General features: G+C 38.5%; 1 long non-coding RNA gene across 1 annotated transcript in view; it reads left to right on the forward strand.

The window, feature by feature from the left end:
* Positions 1-15173, forward strand: part of LOC101927575 (uncharacterized) — a 31159-nt gene extending 15986 nt beyond the window's left edge. The window contains exons 5-9 of the long non-coding RNA NR_110995.1: positions 2510-2581; positions 3043-3348; positions 4524-4973; positions 14087-14205; positions 14913-15173. This is a non-coding gene — a long non-coding RNA (uncharacterized LOC101927575). The remainder of the gene's footprint in view (positions 1-2509; positions 2582-3042; positions 3349-4523; positions 4974-14086; positions 14206-14912) is intronic.
* Positions 15174-17463: the final 2290 nt, after the last annotated feature.

A 17463-nucleotide genomic window follows, 5' to 3' on the forward strand; every position in this document is an offset into this window, starting at 1 on the left:
GACCCCAAATAATTGGTTACCAGTGTGTCAGGCAATCTGGACTTTCCAGTGATGCCACTGAGATGGCACCCCTCAAAAGAGCAGGGGTTCCATTTCTAGACTGTGGATCTTCGGATAAATTCTGCCGTTTTCATTTCACTTCCTGAAAGTCAGGATTGGCTTGTGAAAAGTTGTTAAACAACATGCTAAATGTGAAATGTCAGTCCTCACTCTAAACCTCTAAAGTTTCTCTGTTCAGAGCATCAGATGAAGACTTCATTGTTTTTTTTTTTTTTTGAGGGTCTCACTCTGTCACCCAGACTGGAGTGCAGTGGTGCGATCTCGACCTCTGCCTCCCAGGCTCGAGTGATCCTCCTGCCTCAGCCTCCTGGGTAGCTGGGATTACAGGTGCACACTACTACTGCCCCGCTAATTCGTTGGGTTTTATAGTGGGTTTCCAACTTTTGGTAGTCCATGGAAGAAGGGAGTTTGAAAATTGTTGTATATTGTTAATGATTGTCTGCTCCCATCCTGCCTGAAATACCATGATTATTTATGAAAAGTATCTTTAATAAGGCTGGATACAGTTTGGCTTGGAAAAAAATTTTTTTAAAAAGAAAGTAAAATGGGAGCTTTTTCCCACTTTGTCTGAGTATTAGGAGTCTCCTGTACCATTCTTATCCAAAATTTGAAGGCTTCTCCTGGAGTTGTCTGTGTTTATTTCCTGGTACCTACTTCTGGGTTTTGGCTTGCCTTGTGTCAAGGCTGAGTGATACTCGTGGAAAAACAGGAACTCATCTACCCGTCCTCCCACTGGTCTACTATTTACTTTTCTGATTCCTCAAATAGCTTCTCCAGGCATTATTTCCAGGTTTTATATTTTTATCGAGTGGGTGAGACAGAGTAGAGTGGGCTTATTCAATTTTACCTGGAACTGGCACTTTTTTTTTTTTTTTTGAGATGGAGTTTTGCTCTGTCGCCCAGGCTGGAGTGCAGTGGCGTGATCTCAGCTCACTGCAAGCTCCGCCTCCCAGGTTCATGCCATTCTCCTGCCTTAGCCTCCCGAGTAGCTGGGAGGCGCCTACCACCAAGCCTGGCTAATTTTTTTTATATTTTTAGTAGAGACGGGGTTTCACTATGTTAGCCAGGATGGTCTCGATCTCCTGACCTTGTGATCCACCCGCCTCAGCCTCCCAAAGTGCTAGGATTATAGGCATGAGCCACCACGCTGGGCTGGAACTGGCAGTCTTATATGTAACTCTTTAGTTTTGTCTTTGAGGTTCCAAGGTAGGTAATTTACGATCACAGCAGTCTTTGTGGTAAACATATGAATACTTGTGACCTATTGGTTTTATTCCAATGGTAATGGTAGCTGGGCTGTTACAGAAGAAACTCAGGAAGGAGGCAACACTTACCCTTCCCCACCAGCATTTGCACTCTTACAATTTACCTGCCAATGATGCCTTCTGTGAGCAGTGTTGTGAATCTTGGGTTACTGATCCCAAACAAAATTGGGAAGTTGGTTAAATGCACCATGGAGAACACACCCTTTTCCTTCCACAGGCTTTGCCAACCTCATGACACTTTATGCACTTCCTCATGCAGAAGGATTCCTGCATCCCTTTATTCCTGGAATGGGTATATTGGGTCTAATCATATGTATCAACTATGATTAGAGTGCTGTGTTGAGGTGATTGTTTTGTCTAAGCTCAGAGGGAAATTGGGCTGGGTTCCATTAGTGATGTCTGTTATGGTCTAGATAAAAATCAATGGCAGCAGCATGCTATTGTGTTATTTGTCAATGTTCCTCTTCTTATGTCAGAATTGTATACAAAAAGATTTGCTATTGTCCGGTGCAGTTTTTGTGTGAATTTAAGGTAACTGGCCTCCCTTACCTCATATCCCTTCTACTATCATTCTCTCTAATTGTGAACTAAAGGCTTGATCATCTGTTAAAGTAATTTCTGGGATCAGTGAGCAGATGTAGGAAGCTTTTGGGGAGAGGTAAGTGGTGGGTGTGAGTAGGCAGACTTTCCTTGAATCCTCTCATACTGTCTTGTACATCTAGTAAGGCCAATCATATCCATCTGGGTATAATAAAATAACATGGGAACTTTTCCTGATTGGAAGAGGGGATGGACAGCCTTAAAGGGCTGGCCAGGCAAATTACATGATGTCGGTTTTTAGGTAGAGTTTCTTTGCAGGGTCAGTTGTTGCTGTTTTTTCTTTCCTACAAAAGTCACTCCACTGAAAAGGACCCACTACTTGCAGTACAACCCCAAGAGCACTTGGCCTCCATGCAGGCAGGAAAGAGCATCTGATTAGGAAGAGCCTAGCTGACCTGGACATATGTGAGCTAGCTTGGAAGAGCAATGAGGGCTGTGGGTTTTGGAATAACATCCACTTGGCTTTGAATTGTGAACTTAGCAATTTACTCATTGTAATACTGAGGGTAAATTGGTATTCTTTTGAGCCTGTTTCCTCATCTGTAAAATAGAATAATAATGTTTACCCATTTCCCTCTCTGTAGGGTAACTGTGGAAGCTGACAGACATAAGCCGAAGAAGAAAATGATTGGCATCACTGTAGGTCCTCAGCAAATGTTAGTTCTTTAATATTCTTAGATTGTGTTGTGGGTGGCAGGCAATCACTGCTCAACTTGGCTCTTCTGTCTAGGGTGGGTGGAAGCAGGATAAAATCATGGGAGGTCACATTGAGTTGAAAGTCTTGACCTTTCTTGGATGGGTAAAGGAGCCATCATGTTTTTCATGCTGAAAATAAATTAGTCCCTCAAGTCAAACGTTACCAGAGCTAATAATGAGCTACCTTTTTATAGCAACTGCCATGATATTCAGAACAATTTTTAATTGTGAGTCTCTTTCTTTAAAATAAAAAGTTCACATGAGCAAATGCTAATATTTTAAGAAAATTCTTGGAGGGACTTTAATTGACACATGTAAATGCTGTAGTTCAATTTGCATTTAAATAGACATTCTAAACATTTTCTTTTAAATGGGCTTTATTTCTCTCTTGTAAAACTAAAAATTGATTTTTTCTTTTTAGCAAAATGGGTGCCTGGTAAGGTTCATGGTTAAGAGATGTGGTGCAGCTGTTCTTTTATCTCCTACTCAGAGTGGAAATAGCCTTACCAGAGCAAGGCACAGTGAACAATAGAAGTAATATTTTTAAAAAATGTGCCTCTGCAAAGGATTGATCAGTGGCTTAACAAAGATTGACATCAGCGTGACATTCTCTGCAACAATGCACAAGGCTGCACAGAAAAATCTTCCCTATTTACAAGCACAGTCAACCTTTCATCTCTGATTTCCCCTGAAGACCGCAGTGACCCTCTTAAAATATACTGCAGGGGTAAGCTTTTTTTTCTCCCTTTCCTTCTTCTATATTGGAATAGGAGACTTCTCTGAAAAAGCCTCTAATAGTGGAGTTTTGGGAGATGGAATTCTCATCTGGAATTTTTTACCAAAGGAATTTTATTTTATTTTATTTTATTATTATTATTTTTTTTGGTGAGACAGAGTCTCACTCTGTTGCCCAAGCTGGAGTGCAGTGGCATGATCTTGGCTCACTGCAACCTCCACCTCCCTGGTTCAAACGATTCTCCTGCCTCAGCCTCCCAAGTAGCTGGGATTACAGACACATGCCACCATACCCAGCTAATTTTTTTTGTATTTTTAGTAGAGACGAGGTTTCACCATATTGGCCAGGCTGGTCTCAAACTCCCAACCTCAGGTGATCCACCCATCTCAGCCTCCCAAAGTGCTGGGATTACAGGCGTGAGTCACTGTGCCCAACCACCAAAGTAATTCTTGAAGAGGTGTTTGGTACATTTTCCCAGGTTCCTGAGAAGGAGAATCACAGGATGGAGCTTAGAATTTATTGAGGTCCCTTATTTAAGTCTCACTTTAGGTGTATGGCAGGAAAGACTAGGGACTCACCCGAGTCCTTGTTCTCCTCTTCATTCTGGGCTAGACTATGTGCCCTTCGTACAGTTAGGTTTGGTCACATGCCTGAGTTTTATTCAAAATTGATACATACTACTTCCAGCTTGGTTCATAAAAACCTCCCACATGTACCTTGCTTTTTTCTCCTAATGGCTGGTTGGAATGATGCGATTCCCAGGGCAACCTTGGAAGCCACTTGTTGAGGATGTTATGACTCTATGAGCTTGAGTTCCCTGAATGACTATTCTGCCAAGTTATTCACTTGCTCAGTACTGTTTCCATGAGCAAGAAATAAACTTCTATTGAATCTGGGCCATTATACATTTTTTTTTCATTTGCTATAGCAGGTAGCCTATCCTTATAAAATAAATAATAAAACCTCCCTTATAATAATATTTTGGTATACTATGTATTTTAACAGTGCTATGAGTTCTGCTGACATAGGACCAGCACTCCTTTAAGTGCTTGGTATAACACTTAATCCTCATACATCCCCTTCTCTGGGAATCTGAGGCCTAGGTTATTGTGCAGTGATTCTAAAGTAGATTTTACTCAGAATGTCTGGTATTCTCATCCTTCTAGATTACTTCAAGGACCTTTCTTTTCTTGAAAACAGTCACAATATATTCAACCATTCATTCATTTGACCATTTGATGAATAAATCATCCATTCATTTGATGATCTGTTCTCAAAAATGTTCCAGACATGAAAGGCAGTTTACAAGATGAATAAAATACAACAAAATGGCCTATGAAAACCGGAGTGAAATAAGAAAGGAAAACAAGAATAGAATCAACAAAATGGAGCCAAGAATATAGCTAACACACAGAAGAGTTTATCTTGTTTACCCCTGCTCTCTCTGACATCTTCTTTCTGAAGCTGCTCCTGGCTGCTGCTTCTCACCTCTTCTCCATAAATCCTAATTTCTTGGAAGATCATTTTTTTAAACATTTCCTGATGGTCCTGATTTGTCATCTGCTCCTATGGGATGCTTGGTGGCTTCTCATCATTTTAAACTTCATTACCTTTGGGTAATTTGGTCTGGGGAAATTTAACCCTATAAGTCTTTTTTCTTATCACTCATAAGACTTTTTTTTTTTTTTAAATATACTACACTTATTTGCCATTTACAGTGATTCTTTTTTTCCCATTTACCTGCCCCTTTTTGGTTATAGTTATTCTCTTGTGAGTTTTTCTGTGCCACTCTATTACTAATTCTCCCTCCCTCCCACCCTCCCTCACTCTCTTCCTTCCTTCCTTTTTTTCGAGACGGAGTTTCACTCTTGTTGTCCAGGCTAGAGTGCAGTGGTGCGATCTCAGCTCACTGCAATGTCTGCCTCCTGGGTTCAAGCGATTCTCCTGTGTCATCCTCCTGCGTAGCTGGGATTACAGGCACCTGCTACCATGCCCAGCTAATTTTTTGTATTTTTAGTAGAGACAGGGTTTCACCATGTTGGTCAGGCTGGTCTCGAACTCCTGACCTCAGGTGTTCCACCTGCTTCAGCCTCCCAAAGTGCTGGGATTATAGGCATGAGCCACCGCACCCAGCCTACTGATTTTTCTTTTTCTTCTTTTTTTAAATGTTTTTATTGGGCTTCTTTTTAAAATTGATGTATAGGTATTATTTGCGTATGAACAGTATTAATCCCATTTTTAATTTATGTTACAAATATTTTTCCCAATCTGCCTTTTGTCTTTTGAAAATATGCATGCAAGTTATATTCCTTTGCACTTCCTAAAAAATGTCAACGTATACTTTTTATTTGTACATGTAATACCTTATACATTCTTATAAAAAGTCAAGGGGTATAAATTATATAAAGAAGATATCTCCTTTTTAACCTTTCCTCCTGTGAGGTCATTTCACTTCTCTCTTTGGCAAAAAAAAAAAACAAAAACCCAGAAACACTGTATCTATCGGTTTGGTGTGTATCCTTTGAGATATTTAATTTTCTACACATTTACGTTTGAACGCTCATGTAGAATCATATATATATATGCACAAATTATCATGCTGTATATAGTATTCTGTAAGTTACTTTTTTCACTTAAGTGTACATTTGGAGAACTTTCCATGTTTAGCAGGGTCTAAATCTACCTAAAAATTGCTATTTGAGATTCCGTTATGTTGATATTTGAAGTTTATTTAACTATTCCTTTCTTTACAGACATACATATTGTTTGACTTTTTATTATTACAAATAATACTGCAACAAAATTCTTCATTCCGCTTTGGACATTTGTGGAAGCATTTTCAAAATTACCAGCTATTTTAAACCTCTAAACATTTTTCATAATCTAATGGGTAAAGAAAGTGCTATTCATTTGATCTCTCAATGTACGTTTCACTGATTCCGAGTAAGAGTGAGCATTTTTCATATATTTACTAAGCCATTTGTATCTTTTATATTCTGGAATATTAACTTACTTTTGGAATAATAATCTTTTGCTGTACATGTTCCCCCGCACCTGCCACAATCCCTTTATTTACCTAAACTGGAAACCTCCACTTGGGCAGAAAGAATGGGGGAATGGGGCCTCTTCTTATGACTGTTTCAGGCACTATCTTGTGCTGATATTCGGGCCTCAGGTAGTGATTCTGACCTTTGTACAGTGATTACCTATACATGTTATTTTAAATAAACGTTTATTTTAGGTTCGGGGGTACATATGAAGGTTTGTTACATAGGTAAATGTGTCACAGCGGTTTGTTGTATATACTATTTCATCACCCCGGTGTTAAGCCAAGTACCCAATAGTTATCTTTTCTGCTCCTCTTCTACCTTCCCACCCTCCCCCATCAAGTAGACCCCAGTGTCTGTTGTTTCCTTCTTTGTGTGCATGTGTTCTTATCATTTAGCTCCCACTTATAAGTGAGAATATGCAGTATTTGGTTTTCTGTTCCTGCATTAGTTTGCAAAGGATGGTAGCCTCCAGCTCCATCCACGTTTCCACAAAAGACATGATCTTGTTGTTTTTTATTGATGCATAATATTCCATGATGTATATGTACCATATTTTCTTTATCCAATCTGTCATTGATGGGCATTTAGGTTGATTCCATGTCTTTGCTTTTGTTAATAGTGCCGCAATGAACATTTGCATGCATGTCCCTTTATGGTAGAATGCTTTATATTCCGGGGGATACACCCAGTAATAGGATTGCTGGATCAGCTGCTTTTAGCTCTTTGAGGAATCACCATACTGCTTTCCACAATGGTTGAACTAATTTACACTCCCACCAACAGTGTATAAGCGTTCCCTTTTCTCTGGAACCTTTCCAGCATCTGTTATTTTTGGCTTTTTAATAGCCATTCTGACTGGTGTGAGATGATATCTCATTGTTTTGATTTGCATTTCTCTAATAATTAGTGATATTGAGCTTTTTTCATATCCTTGTTGGCTGCATGCATGTCTTCTTTTGAGAAGTGTCTGTTCATGTCCTTTGCCCACTTTTTAATGGGATTGTTTTTCTCTTGTAAATTTATTTAAGTTCCTTATAGATGCTGGGTATTAGACCTTCATCAGATGCATAGTTTGCATATATTTTCTTCCACTCTTTAGGTTGTCTGTTTACTTTGTTGTTAGTTTCTTTTGCTGTGCAGAAGCTCTTAAGTTTAATGAGATCCCACTTGAATAGAGAGCCTTTTCCCCATTGCTTGTTTTTGTCAGCTTTGTCGAAGATCAGATGGTTGTAGATGTGAGGCTTATTTCTGGGCTCTCTATTCTGTTCCATTAGTCTATGTGCCTGTTTTTGTACTAGTAACATGCTGTTTTGGTTACCGTAGCCTAGTAGCATAGTTTGAAGTCGGGTAATGTGATGCCTCCAGCTTTGTTCTTTTTGCTTAGGATTGCTTTGGCTATTTGGGCTCTTTTTTGGTTCCATATAAGTTTTAAAATAGCCTTTCTTTAAAATAGTTCTGTGAAGAATGGACTTGTTTGATAGGAAAGTACTGAATCTATAAATTGCTTTGGGCAGTATAGCCATTTTAATAATACTGATTCTTCATATCCATGAGCATGGGATTTTTCATTTTTTGTGTCTTCTCTGATTTCTTTGGTCAGTGTTTTGTAATTCTCATGGTAGAGCTCTTTCACCTCTATGGTTAGCTGTATTCCTAGGTTTATTTTTGTTTGTTTGTTTTGCAGGCGTGTGTGTATGTGGCAATTGTGAATGGGATTGCCTTCCTGATTTGGCTCTTGGTTTGGCTTGTTGGTGTACAGGAATGCCAGTGATTTTTATACATTGATTTTATATCCTGCAACTTTGCTGAAGTTGTTTATCAGCTGAAGGAGCTTTTGGGCAGAGACTATGGGGGTTTTCTAGGTATAGAATCATGTTGTCTGTGAACAGAGATAGTTTGACGTCCTCTCTTCCTATTTGGATGCATTTTATTACTTTCTCTTGCCTGATTGCTCTAGCTAGGACTTGAATAGAAGTGATGAGGGAGGCCATCATGTTATAAATGTTTTCTCCCTGTTTCTCATTTGTCCTAAAAACTTGGTTTATGTCTTTTGTGGTTAAGTTTTTCTGTTTTTGGAAGCAAGTCTACCAATCTTTCATTTTTTTCACATTTGGCTTAAGAAAATCTTCCTTGCCACAAGCTTACAAATATATTCTCCTAGTTTCCTTCTGCATAAAAATGCATGCATGAGGCTAACAATCATCTGAGCCTTTAGTGGACTGTAATCTTTTTGCTGGTGGAGGATCTTGCCTCAGTGTTGATGGCTGCTGACAGATCAGGGTAGTGGTTGCTGAAGGTTGGGGTGGCTGTGGCAACTTCTTAAAATAACAATGAAGTTTGCTGCATCAGTCTGCTCTTCCTTTCAAGAAAGATTTCTCTAGCATGCAATTCTGTTTGATAACATTTCACTCACAGTAGAAATTCTTTCAAAATTGGAGTCAATCCTCTCAAACCCTGCTGCTGCTTTATCAACTAAGTTTATGTAATATTCTAAATTATTTGTTGTCATTTCAACAATGTTCACAGCACCTTCATCATTCCACCTCAAGAAAGTACTTTCTTTGCTCATCCAAAGAAGTGAGTCTTCATCCTTTCAAGTTTTATCGTAAGGTTTCAGCAATTTAGTTACATCTTCAGGCTTCTCTTCTAATTCTAGTTCTCTTGCTATTTTTACTACATATGCAGTTCCTTCCTACACTGAGGCCTTGAATCCCTCAAGGTCATCCATAAGAGTTGGAATGAACTTTCTCCAAACTCCTGTTAATATTCATATTTTGACCTCCTCCCATGAATCACGAATGTTCTTAATGTCATTGAGAATGGTGAATCGTTTCCAGAAAGTTTTCAATTTACTTTGCTCAGATCCATCAGAGGAATCACTATCTAAGTCCACTAGAGCCTTATGAAATATATTTCTTAAATAATAAGACTTGAAAGTAAAAATCACTCCTTGATCCATGGGCTACAGAGTAGATGTGGTATTAGCAGGCATGACAACATTAATCTCCTTATACATCTGTATCAGAGCTCTTGGGTGACCAGGTACATTGCCAATAAGCCGAAATATTTTGAAAATAATCTTTTTTTTTTTTTTTCTGAGGAGCAGGTCCCAACAGTGGACTTAAAATATTTAGTAAACCGTGATGCCAACAGATGTGCTGTCATCTGGGCTTTGTTATTCCATTTATAGAGCACAGGCAGAGTAGATTTAGCATAACTCTTTTATTTTTATTTACTTATTTATTTTTTGAGACAGAGTTTCGCTTGTTGCCAAGGCTGGAGTACAATGGCACCATCATGGCTCACTGCAACCTCCACCTCCTGGGTTCAAGCGATTCTCCTGCCCCAGCTTCCCAAGTAGCTGGGATTACAGGTGCCTGCCACCATGCCCAGCTAATTTTTGTATTTTTAGTAGAGACGGGGTTTCACCATGTTGGCCAGCCTGGTCTTGAACTCCTAACCCCAGGTGATCCACCCGCCTTGGCCTCCCAAAGTGCTGGGATTACAGGTGTGAGCCACTGCGCCTGGCCAATTTAGCATAATTCTTAAGGGTCCTAGGATTTTGGGATGGTAAATGAGCATTGGATTCAACTTAAAGTCACTGGTGGCATGATTCTCTAACAAGAGGGTCAGCCTGTCCTTTGAAGCTTTGAAGCCAGTCCTTGACTTCCCCTCTCTAGTTATGAAAGTCCTAGATTGCATCTTCCAATAGAAGACTTTTGTCTACTTTGAAAATCTGTTGTTTAGTGTAGCCACCTTCATCAGTGATCCTAGCTAGATCTTCTGGATAACTTGCTGCAGCTTCTCCATCAGCAGTTGCTGCCTCACCTTGCACTTTTTTGTTTTTTACACCCACTCCCCACCTTGACTTTTATGTTATGGAAATGGCTTCTTTCCTTAAACCTCATGAACCCAACATCTGCTGAATTCCTACTTTTCTACTGCAGCTTCCTCACCTTTCTCAGCATTCATATTATTGAAGAGAGTTAGGGCGTTTCTCTGCATTAGGCTTTGGCTTAAGGAAATAGTGTGGCTGGTTTGATTTTCTACAGAAATCACTACAGCTTTCTCCATATCAGAAATAAGGCTGTTTTGCTTTCCTATCATTTGTGTGCTATCACTGAAACAGCACTTTTAATTTCCTTCAATAACTTTTCTTTTGCATTCACAACTTGGGCAACTGTTTGGTACAAGAGACCTAGCTTTCAATTTCTTTTGGTTTTTGACATGCTAACCTCAGTCAGCTTAATCATTTTTAGCTTTTGATTTCAAGTGAGAGACGTGCAACTCTTCCTTTCACTTGAACTTAGAGACAATTGCAGGACTACAAATTGGCCTATTTCAATATTATTGTGTCTCGGGGAAAGGGAGGCTCAAGGAGAGAGGGAGAGAGATGAGAAGATGGCTGGTTGGTGGAGCAGTCTGAACAGACAGTTTGTAGTCTTATGTGGGTGTCATTTATGGTGCCCCAAACCAATTACAATAGTAACACCAAAGATCATGGACCACAGATCACTATAACAGATATAATAATAAAAAACTTTGAAATATTGTGAGAATTACCAAAATGTGACACAGAGACATGAAGGGAGCACATGCTGTTGGAAAAATGGCACCAACAGATTTGTTTAATGAAGGGTTGTTACAAATCTTTATAAAAAAAAATGCAGTATCTGCAAAGTGCAATAAAGTGAAACACAATAAAATGAGGTATGGGGTGGGTACAGGAGGATCACTTGATCCTAGGAGTTTGAGAGCAATCTCGGCAACATAGTCAGACCCCGTCTCTACAAAAAAATAAAAAAATTAGCAGGGCACAGTGGCACACACCTGTGGTCCCAGCTACTCAGGAGGAGGATTGCTTGAACCTGGGAAGTTGAGGCTGCACTGAGCCATGATTGCAACACTGCACACCAGCCTGGGTAACAGAGTGAGAAACTGTCTCAAAAAAAAAAAAAAAAAAAAAAAAAAAAGAGGTATACCTGTATATATGTTTATAATACTGACATCTTTAATACAATTGATAAAATAACTTATCTTTATGTTTGATATTAGATAACAGCCTAATTTTTCTTCTTTTTATTTATTTATTTATTTATTTTTTGAGACAGAGTCTCGCTCTGGAGTGCAGTGGCGTGAGCCCAGCTCACTGCAACCTCTGCCTCCCAGGTTTAAGCCATTCTGCTGTCTCAGCCTCTTGAGTAGCTGGGACTATAGGCACGCATCACCATGCCTGGCTAATTTTTTTGTGTATTTTTTGTAGAGATGGGGTTTCAACACGTTGCCCAGGCTGGGAGGACTTTATATTCTTACCCATCAGTCTATTTGTCTCTTTATCAGTAGCATACTGTTTTAATTACTGTAGTTTTATAGTATATTTTCACACCAGGGAGAGCAAGATGAACTTTAAAATCAGTTGGTCATAGTCTACAAAAACTATTGTTGAGATTTTGAGTAGAATTGCCTGAATTTATATAGATTAATTTTTTGGAGAATGAACATCCTAATATGGAGGTTTCTCAATTGGAAGTATGACTATAAACAGGCAAAATAAAACTTGTACACAAATAATTGCATTCTTCAGCAAAAAAAGTGCAGAAGACTATATATTATGCAACCTTTTGTGGGAAAAGAGAAGTAAATAAACATATATATTCACATTTGTTTCTAAATGCATAAAGAAACTTCAGAAGGATTATAAGAAAGTAATAAGAATGATTACCTGTTGGAGTGGTGATGGGAATGGGTTGAGTATGCCACTTTTCACTTTATGTTTTTGTATATTGTTTGTATTTTTTAAAAATTCATACATAATGATCGTATACACTTAGGGAATATATGTAATATTTTGATACATGCATACAATGTGTAATGATCAAAGGGTAATTGAAATCTCCATCACCTCAAACGTTTATAATTTCTTTCTGTTGGGAATATTCCTAATTTTCTCCTCTAGCTATTTGAAATATAGAAGAAATATATAGTAAATTATAGTTAATAATAGTCACCCTACTGTGCTCTTGAATACTAGAACTTACTCCTTTTATCTAACTATATTTTCGTACCCATTTACCAACATCTCTTCATCTTCCTCCTCCTTCCTTTCCAGCCTCCAGTACCCACCATTCTAATCTCCACCACCATGAGATTGACTTTTTTAAGCTCTCACATATGAGTGAGAACATGCAATATTTATTCTTCTATGCTGGCTTATTTCACTTAACATAATATCCTCCAATTCCATTCATCTTGCTGCAAATGACAGCATTTCATTTCTTTTATAGCTGAATAATATTCCATTGTGTATCTATACCTAATTTACTTTATACATTCGTTGATGGATATGTAGGTTGATTCCATTATCTTGGCTATTATAAATAGTGCTGTAATAACTATGGGAGTGAAGATATCTCTTTGATATACTAATTTCCTCTCTTTTGCATATATATCCAGCAATGGGATTGCATTCTCTTTTTAGGTTTTTTGAGGAACCTCCAAACTGTTTTCATAGTTGCTGTACTAATTGACATTCCCATCAGCAGTGTATACGAGTTCCTTTTCTCCACATTGTCGCCAGCATTTGTTATTTTCTGTTTTTTTGGTAATAGCCATTTAAACTCGGGTAAGATAATATTTCATTGTGGTTTTGATTTGCATTTCCCTGATGATTAGTGATGTTTAACATTTTTTCATCTACTTGTTGACTATTTATATGTCTTCTTTTGAGAAATATCTATTCAGATGTCTTGCCCATTGTTTTATAATCAAATTCTTTTTTTTTTTTTGCTGTCAAATTGAATTCCTCTTATATTCTTGTTATTAATGCTTTGTCAGATGCATAGTTTGCAAATATTTTCTCCCATTCTGTAGGGCATCTCTTCACTTTGTCGATTGTTTTCTTTGCTGTACAGAAGCTTTTTAGCAACAGCAGCAGCAGCATTAGACATGAATTTCCCTAGTTGGTCCCACGTCATTCAGAATGCTTTTCTGGAGTAGACAGTTAAGATTAAAGTTCTTTTATTCTTCTTTTCAGGCGACAAAGCTCAGTGCACATTAAGTTACCTCAGTGAAGCTTCTGTTTTGATCCAAAGTGTTTCAGCCTTGTCCTCTTAGTTCAAGCTGGATCAATTAAATATCGCAATCATTACAAGGCAGCTCTTTCACAGCTCACTTATTCATCAAAGTAATTAAATTTGTTAACAAATGTATAGAATTGCATATATTGAACAGTCTCAACTACCTTGGTTTATTTCGTTCATTAAACTTAACCATTATTTCCTATGTGACTATAAGAGTCATTGTCTTTTAAGTTTATATTGTGAGCCAGGACTTTGCTTTTGGTATGTTTTTTAAAAACAGCTTCATCATTAAAAAAATCATTAAAAAGTATTATTATTATAATAATACACCGTGCCCAGCCTCTTTTTGTTTTTAACTTGTATTTTAGGTTCAGGGGTACAGGTGCAGGTTTGTTACATAGGTAAATTGGGTGTCACAGGGTTTAGTATACAGATTATTTTTTTCACCCAGGTAATAAGCATAGTACCCGATAGATAGTTTTTATGTCATAGATGGGTTATTTCTTGAATGGCCCCTGACATTCCAGATTTAGGGACAGTTCTGTAATAATTATCCAAGAAGCTGAATATCTATTGTCATTCTCTCCAACTTTGACCTAGAGTCTTCACTTTGTCTGTGTCCAACTTGCCATGGGGTTTAGGAGAAATGAAAGGGAGCTTGGCTATAGCTGCTGAAGATGCAGTTACAGAAGTGGAGAGGCAGGACAGTGGGGAAGAAGGTAATTTGGAGGGTTTCTAAATGTCAGTTTTCAGGGACAGTGCTCCAGTAATGCTCTTTCCATTGCATGTTATTGTAATAAGTTTAGAAAAATGGTTGTGTTTCAACAACAGTGCTGTGGAAACATACCATGCCCTTCCATGATGGTACATACAGGTAGAAAGAACATCTATTTTTAAAAGTTCAGTAACATAAATTAGCTTGAACCCCAGACTTTAATTTTGAAGGAAGATTAGATTGGATCTAAATAATTGAAGACACGTGGAGAAACATTTTAATAAAACTTCGTAATTTGACTCACAGTTCCTTGAGTCTTTACCCGCTCACTCTCATTAGCTGTATCATGACCAGGTGGCTGGTGAGAATCATTTAATAGCCTGAACACTTGTGGGGCTTTTTTACCCAGCTGAAAGCTGATTATGTTCATTAGGAAAAAATAGTTCAGTCCATCTTCCCCAACCCGAACAGCCCATTCATCCTCTATGTCACTTTCTACATTTTTTACATTGTAATGCATGCCAATAAAGAACAATACACTTGTGTGGCTGCACTTCACACAGAACCTTCACAGTTATTATTTAATTTACATTATATAGCTTCAATTGTAAAGTAAGTCTTTTATTGTAAATCCCTAGACTATAGTCACTGAATATATTTAAATTCTCTTGGCACAATTTATAATCAAGAATGCTTTTTGACCGTGTGCAGTGGCTCACACCTGTAATCCCAGCACTTTGGGAGGCCGAGGCGGGTGGATCAACTGAGGCCTAGAATTTGAGACCAGCCTCGCCAACATGGCGGGGCGTGGTGGCAGGAACCTATAATCCCAGCTACTGGGGAGGCTGAGGCAGGAGAATCGCTTGAATCCAGGAGGCAGAAGTTGCAGTGAACCGAGATCGTGCCGCCGCACTCCAGCCTCGGTTGACAGAGTAAGACTCCGTCTCCAAAAAAAAAAAAAAAAAAAAAAAAGGAAGAAAGAAAGAAAGAAACAACCCTTCTGGGACCTGGATTTCTGGGACTTATTTTACTTTGATGTACAGCTCCTGGATATTACTCAGCATTGTTCAGCAGCCAGGTACAGTTTGTTGAAGGATGCCTGCTACTCCTCCCACCTGAGATGCCTTGAATTTATGGTCACCATCAGGCCTAGGCATAAGCTAGCCTTCTTTTCTCTCTCTTTCATCTTCAATGGTTCCTTTTCTCTATACTTTTCATCTTCTTTCTCTCTGTGTTTTTATTTTCTTATACAAAATTTACCTTTTCTCTAAGGTTCCAGTTGCATAGCATCTTAAACTGGGAAAAAACCCCTCACAACCCCACATTTTAATAGAAGCAGCTTTTTATAGGTATGTTAACTTACTAGTGGGAATGACCCAGTTTAAAGTAGTTATGAGTATTTCTGGTGATGTGACTTTTTTTTTTGTTTTGGAGACGGAGTCTCGCTCCGTCGCCCAGGCTGAAGTGCAGTGGCGCAGTCTCGGCTCACTGCAAGCTCCGCCTCCCGGGTTCACGCCATTCTCCTGCCTGAGCCTCCCGAGTAGCTGGGACTACAAGGCGCCCGCCACTGCGCCTGGCTAATTTTTTGTATTTTTAGTAGAGACGGGGTTTCACCGTGGTCTCGATGTCCTGACCTCGTGATCCGCCCGCCTCGGCCTCCCAAAGTGCTGGGATTACAGGCGTGAGCCACCGTGCCCGGCGTGACTTTGTCTTAAAGGGGTAGGTATTGTCTCATTTGAATGGATAGTACACACATTTTAATCCTGAATGTCTGTACTGCTATAGCAGTCATTTCTCAATTATCTGCAAAAGAGGCATAGGCCAAATAGAATAATTTGAACATTTGACTTGGAATGTGTGATATGATGTGAAGATTATTTTACTAATTACATTTGGTTTGGACTTATATTAAATGTTTCTCTAGAGTATGCAACAAACTTCTTCGAAAGAGAGGCAATCTAGAAATAATTGAGACAAGGGCAGAAGCCAAAGGACAATGAAAAAATTTCAGAAACAGGTGACTGTTTAATTAGTTATTTATTTAAATCTTGCCATATTCTGAAAAAGATTTTGAGGAGGAAAAATAGCTGTGGTTCCAACTGGGAGCATTATGCCTTTTGAGGCCTAAATGTAAGATTCTAGCTCTTCGTCCCATGCAGGATTTTGCTGTGTGATAATAACAACAGTAATCATTCATGATATGTCCACTATGCTAAATATTTGACATGTTTTATCCCACTTAATCCTCAGATTCCCTGCTCTCCCTATTTACAGATGAGGCTCAGAGAGTTTAATTATCGTGCCCTAAGTGACACAGCTAGTCCATGGCAGAAGTATTCCTTGAACCCAGCTTGTGTGGCTCTGATGCCTGTGTTCCTAACACTTTCCTCCTACTGCCTCTGATTTTGTTGATGATGAAAAGTTATGCAGCTGTGTCTGATCTCTAGGAAAAACATCTGGGCATCTTTAAAGTAGTTTTCAAAACCTGAAGCACTAAGATGAATGTGAAAGAACCAGGCCTTGTTAATGTCAAATTATCTCATCTGAGAAAAGAGTTGTATTCATCTTACCAAGACAGTTTCCCTCCTTGTAGAAATTACTTTGCAGAAACAATCGCAGTATCTAAATGTTGTCAGTTCACATCACTACTTTGTCAAGAAGAAGCTTAATGCTTGTGTTACATGATTTTAAACTTGTTTTCAGCCTGAGACTGGCATACCTAATTTTAAATATACTTGTATTTAAAGGATATTGTTGACTAGGTGGACTGCTGTCCATTAAGAAGTAAGGTTAGCATTTTTCTCTCTAACTTTCAACTTGATACTTTTTATATCCAGGCTATTAAATATATATCGGAAAGTTCTCTAGCAGATAAATCTCTTACCAAAGCAATTTAAGCAAGCAACAAAATAAAGGGGTAAAACATTTAGTTTTCAGATAACATATTCTGCAAGGACTGTCCTCTGTTTTTGTGGTATTGCACAGGGTTGTTTGAAACTGAAGATGCTATACTTGAGGCTTTTTGTGGCATCGGCTTCTGAATTCAACTCTGAAGTGAATGTGTTGCATTGCTTTCAAGTGTGGTGGTGATGAATTACTGAAGAAATTTCAATCAGAGGTAAAAATCTTAAATTCTTTTAGTTGCTTTATTTTTTTTAGAGGTCAAGAGTAACTCCTTTTTTGTGGGGGGAAGTGAAATAAAACTGACTTTGCTTCATTTAAAAATACTGTTTTGGGGCCCAGCGTGGTGGCTCATGCTTGT

This window comes from Homo sapiens, chromosome 9 (assembly GCF_000001405.40).
Source record: "Homo sapiens chromosome 9, GRCh38.p14 Primary Assembly".
NCBI classification, from domain to species: Eukaryota; Metazoa; Chordata; class Mammalia; order Primates; family Hominidae; genus Homo; species Homo sapiens.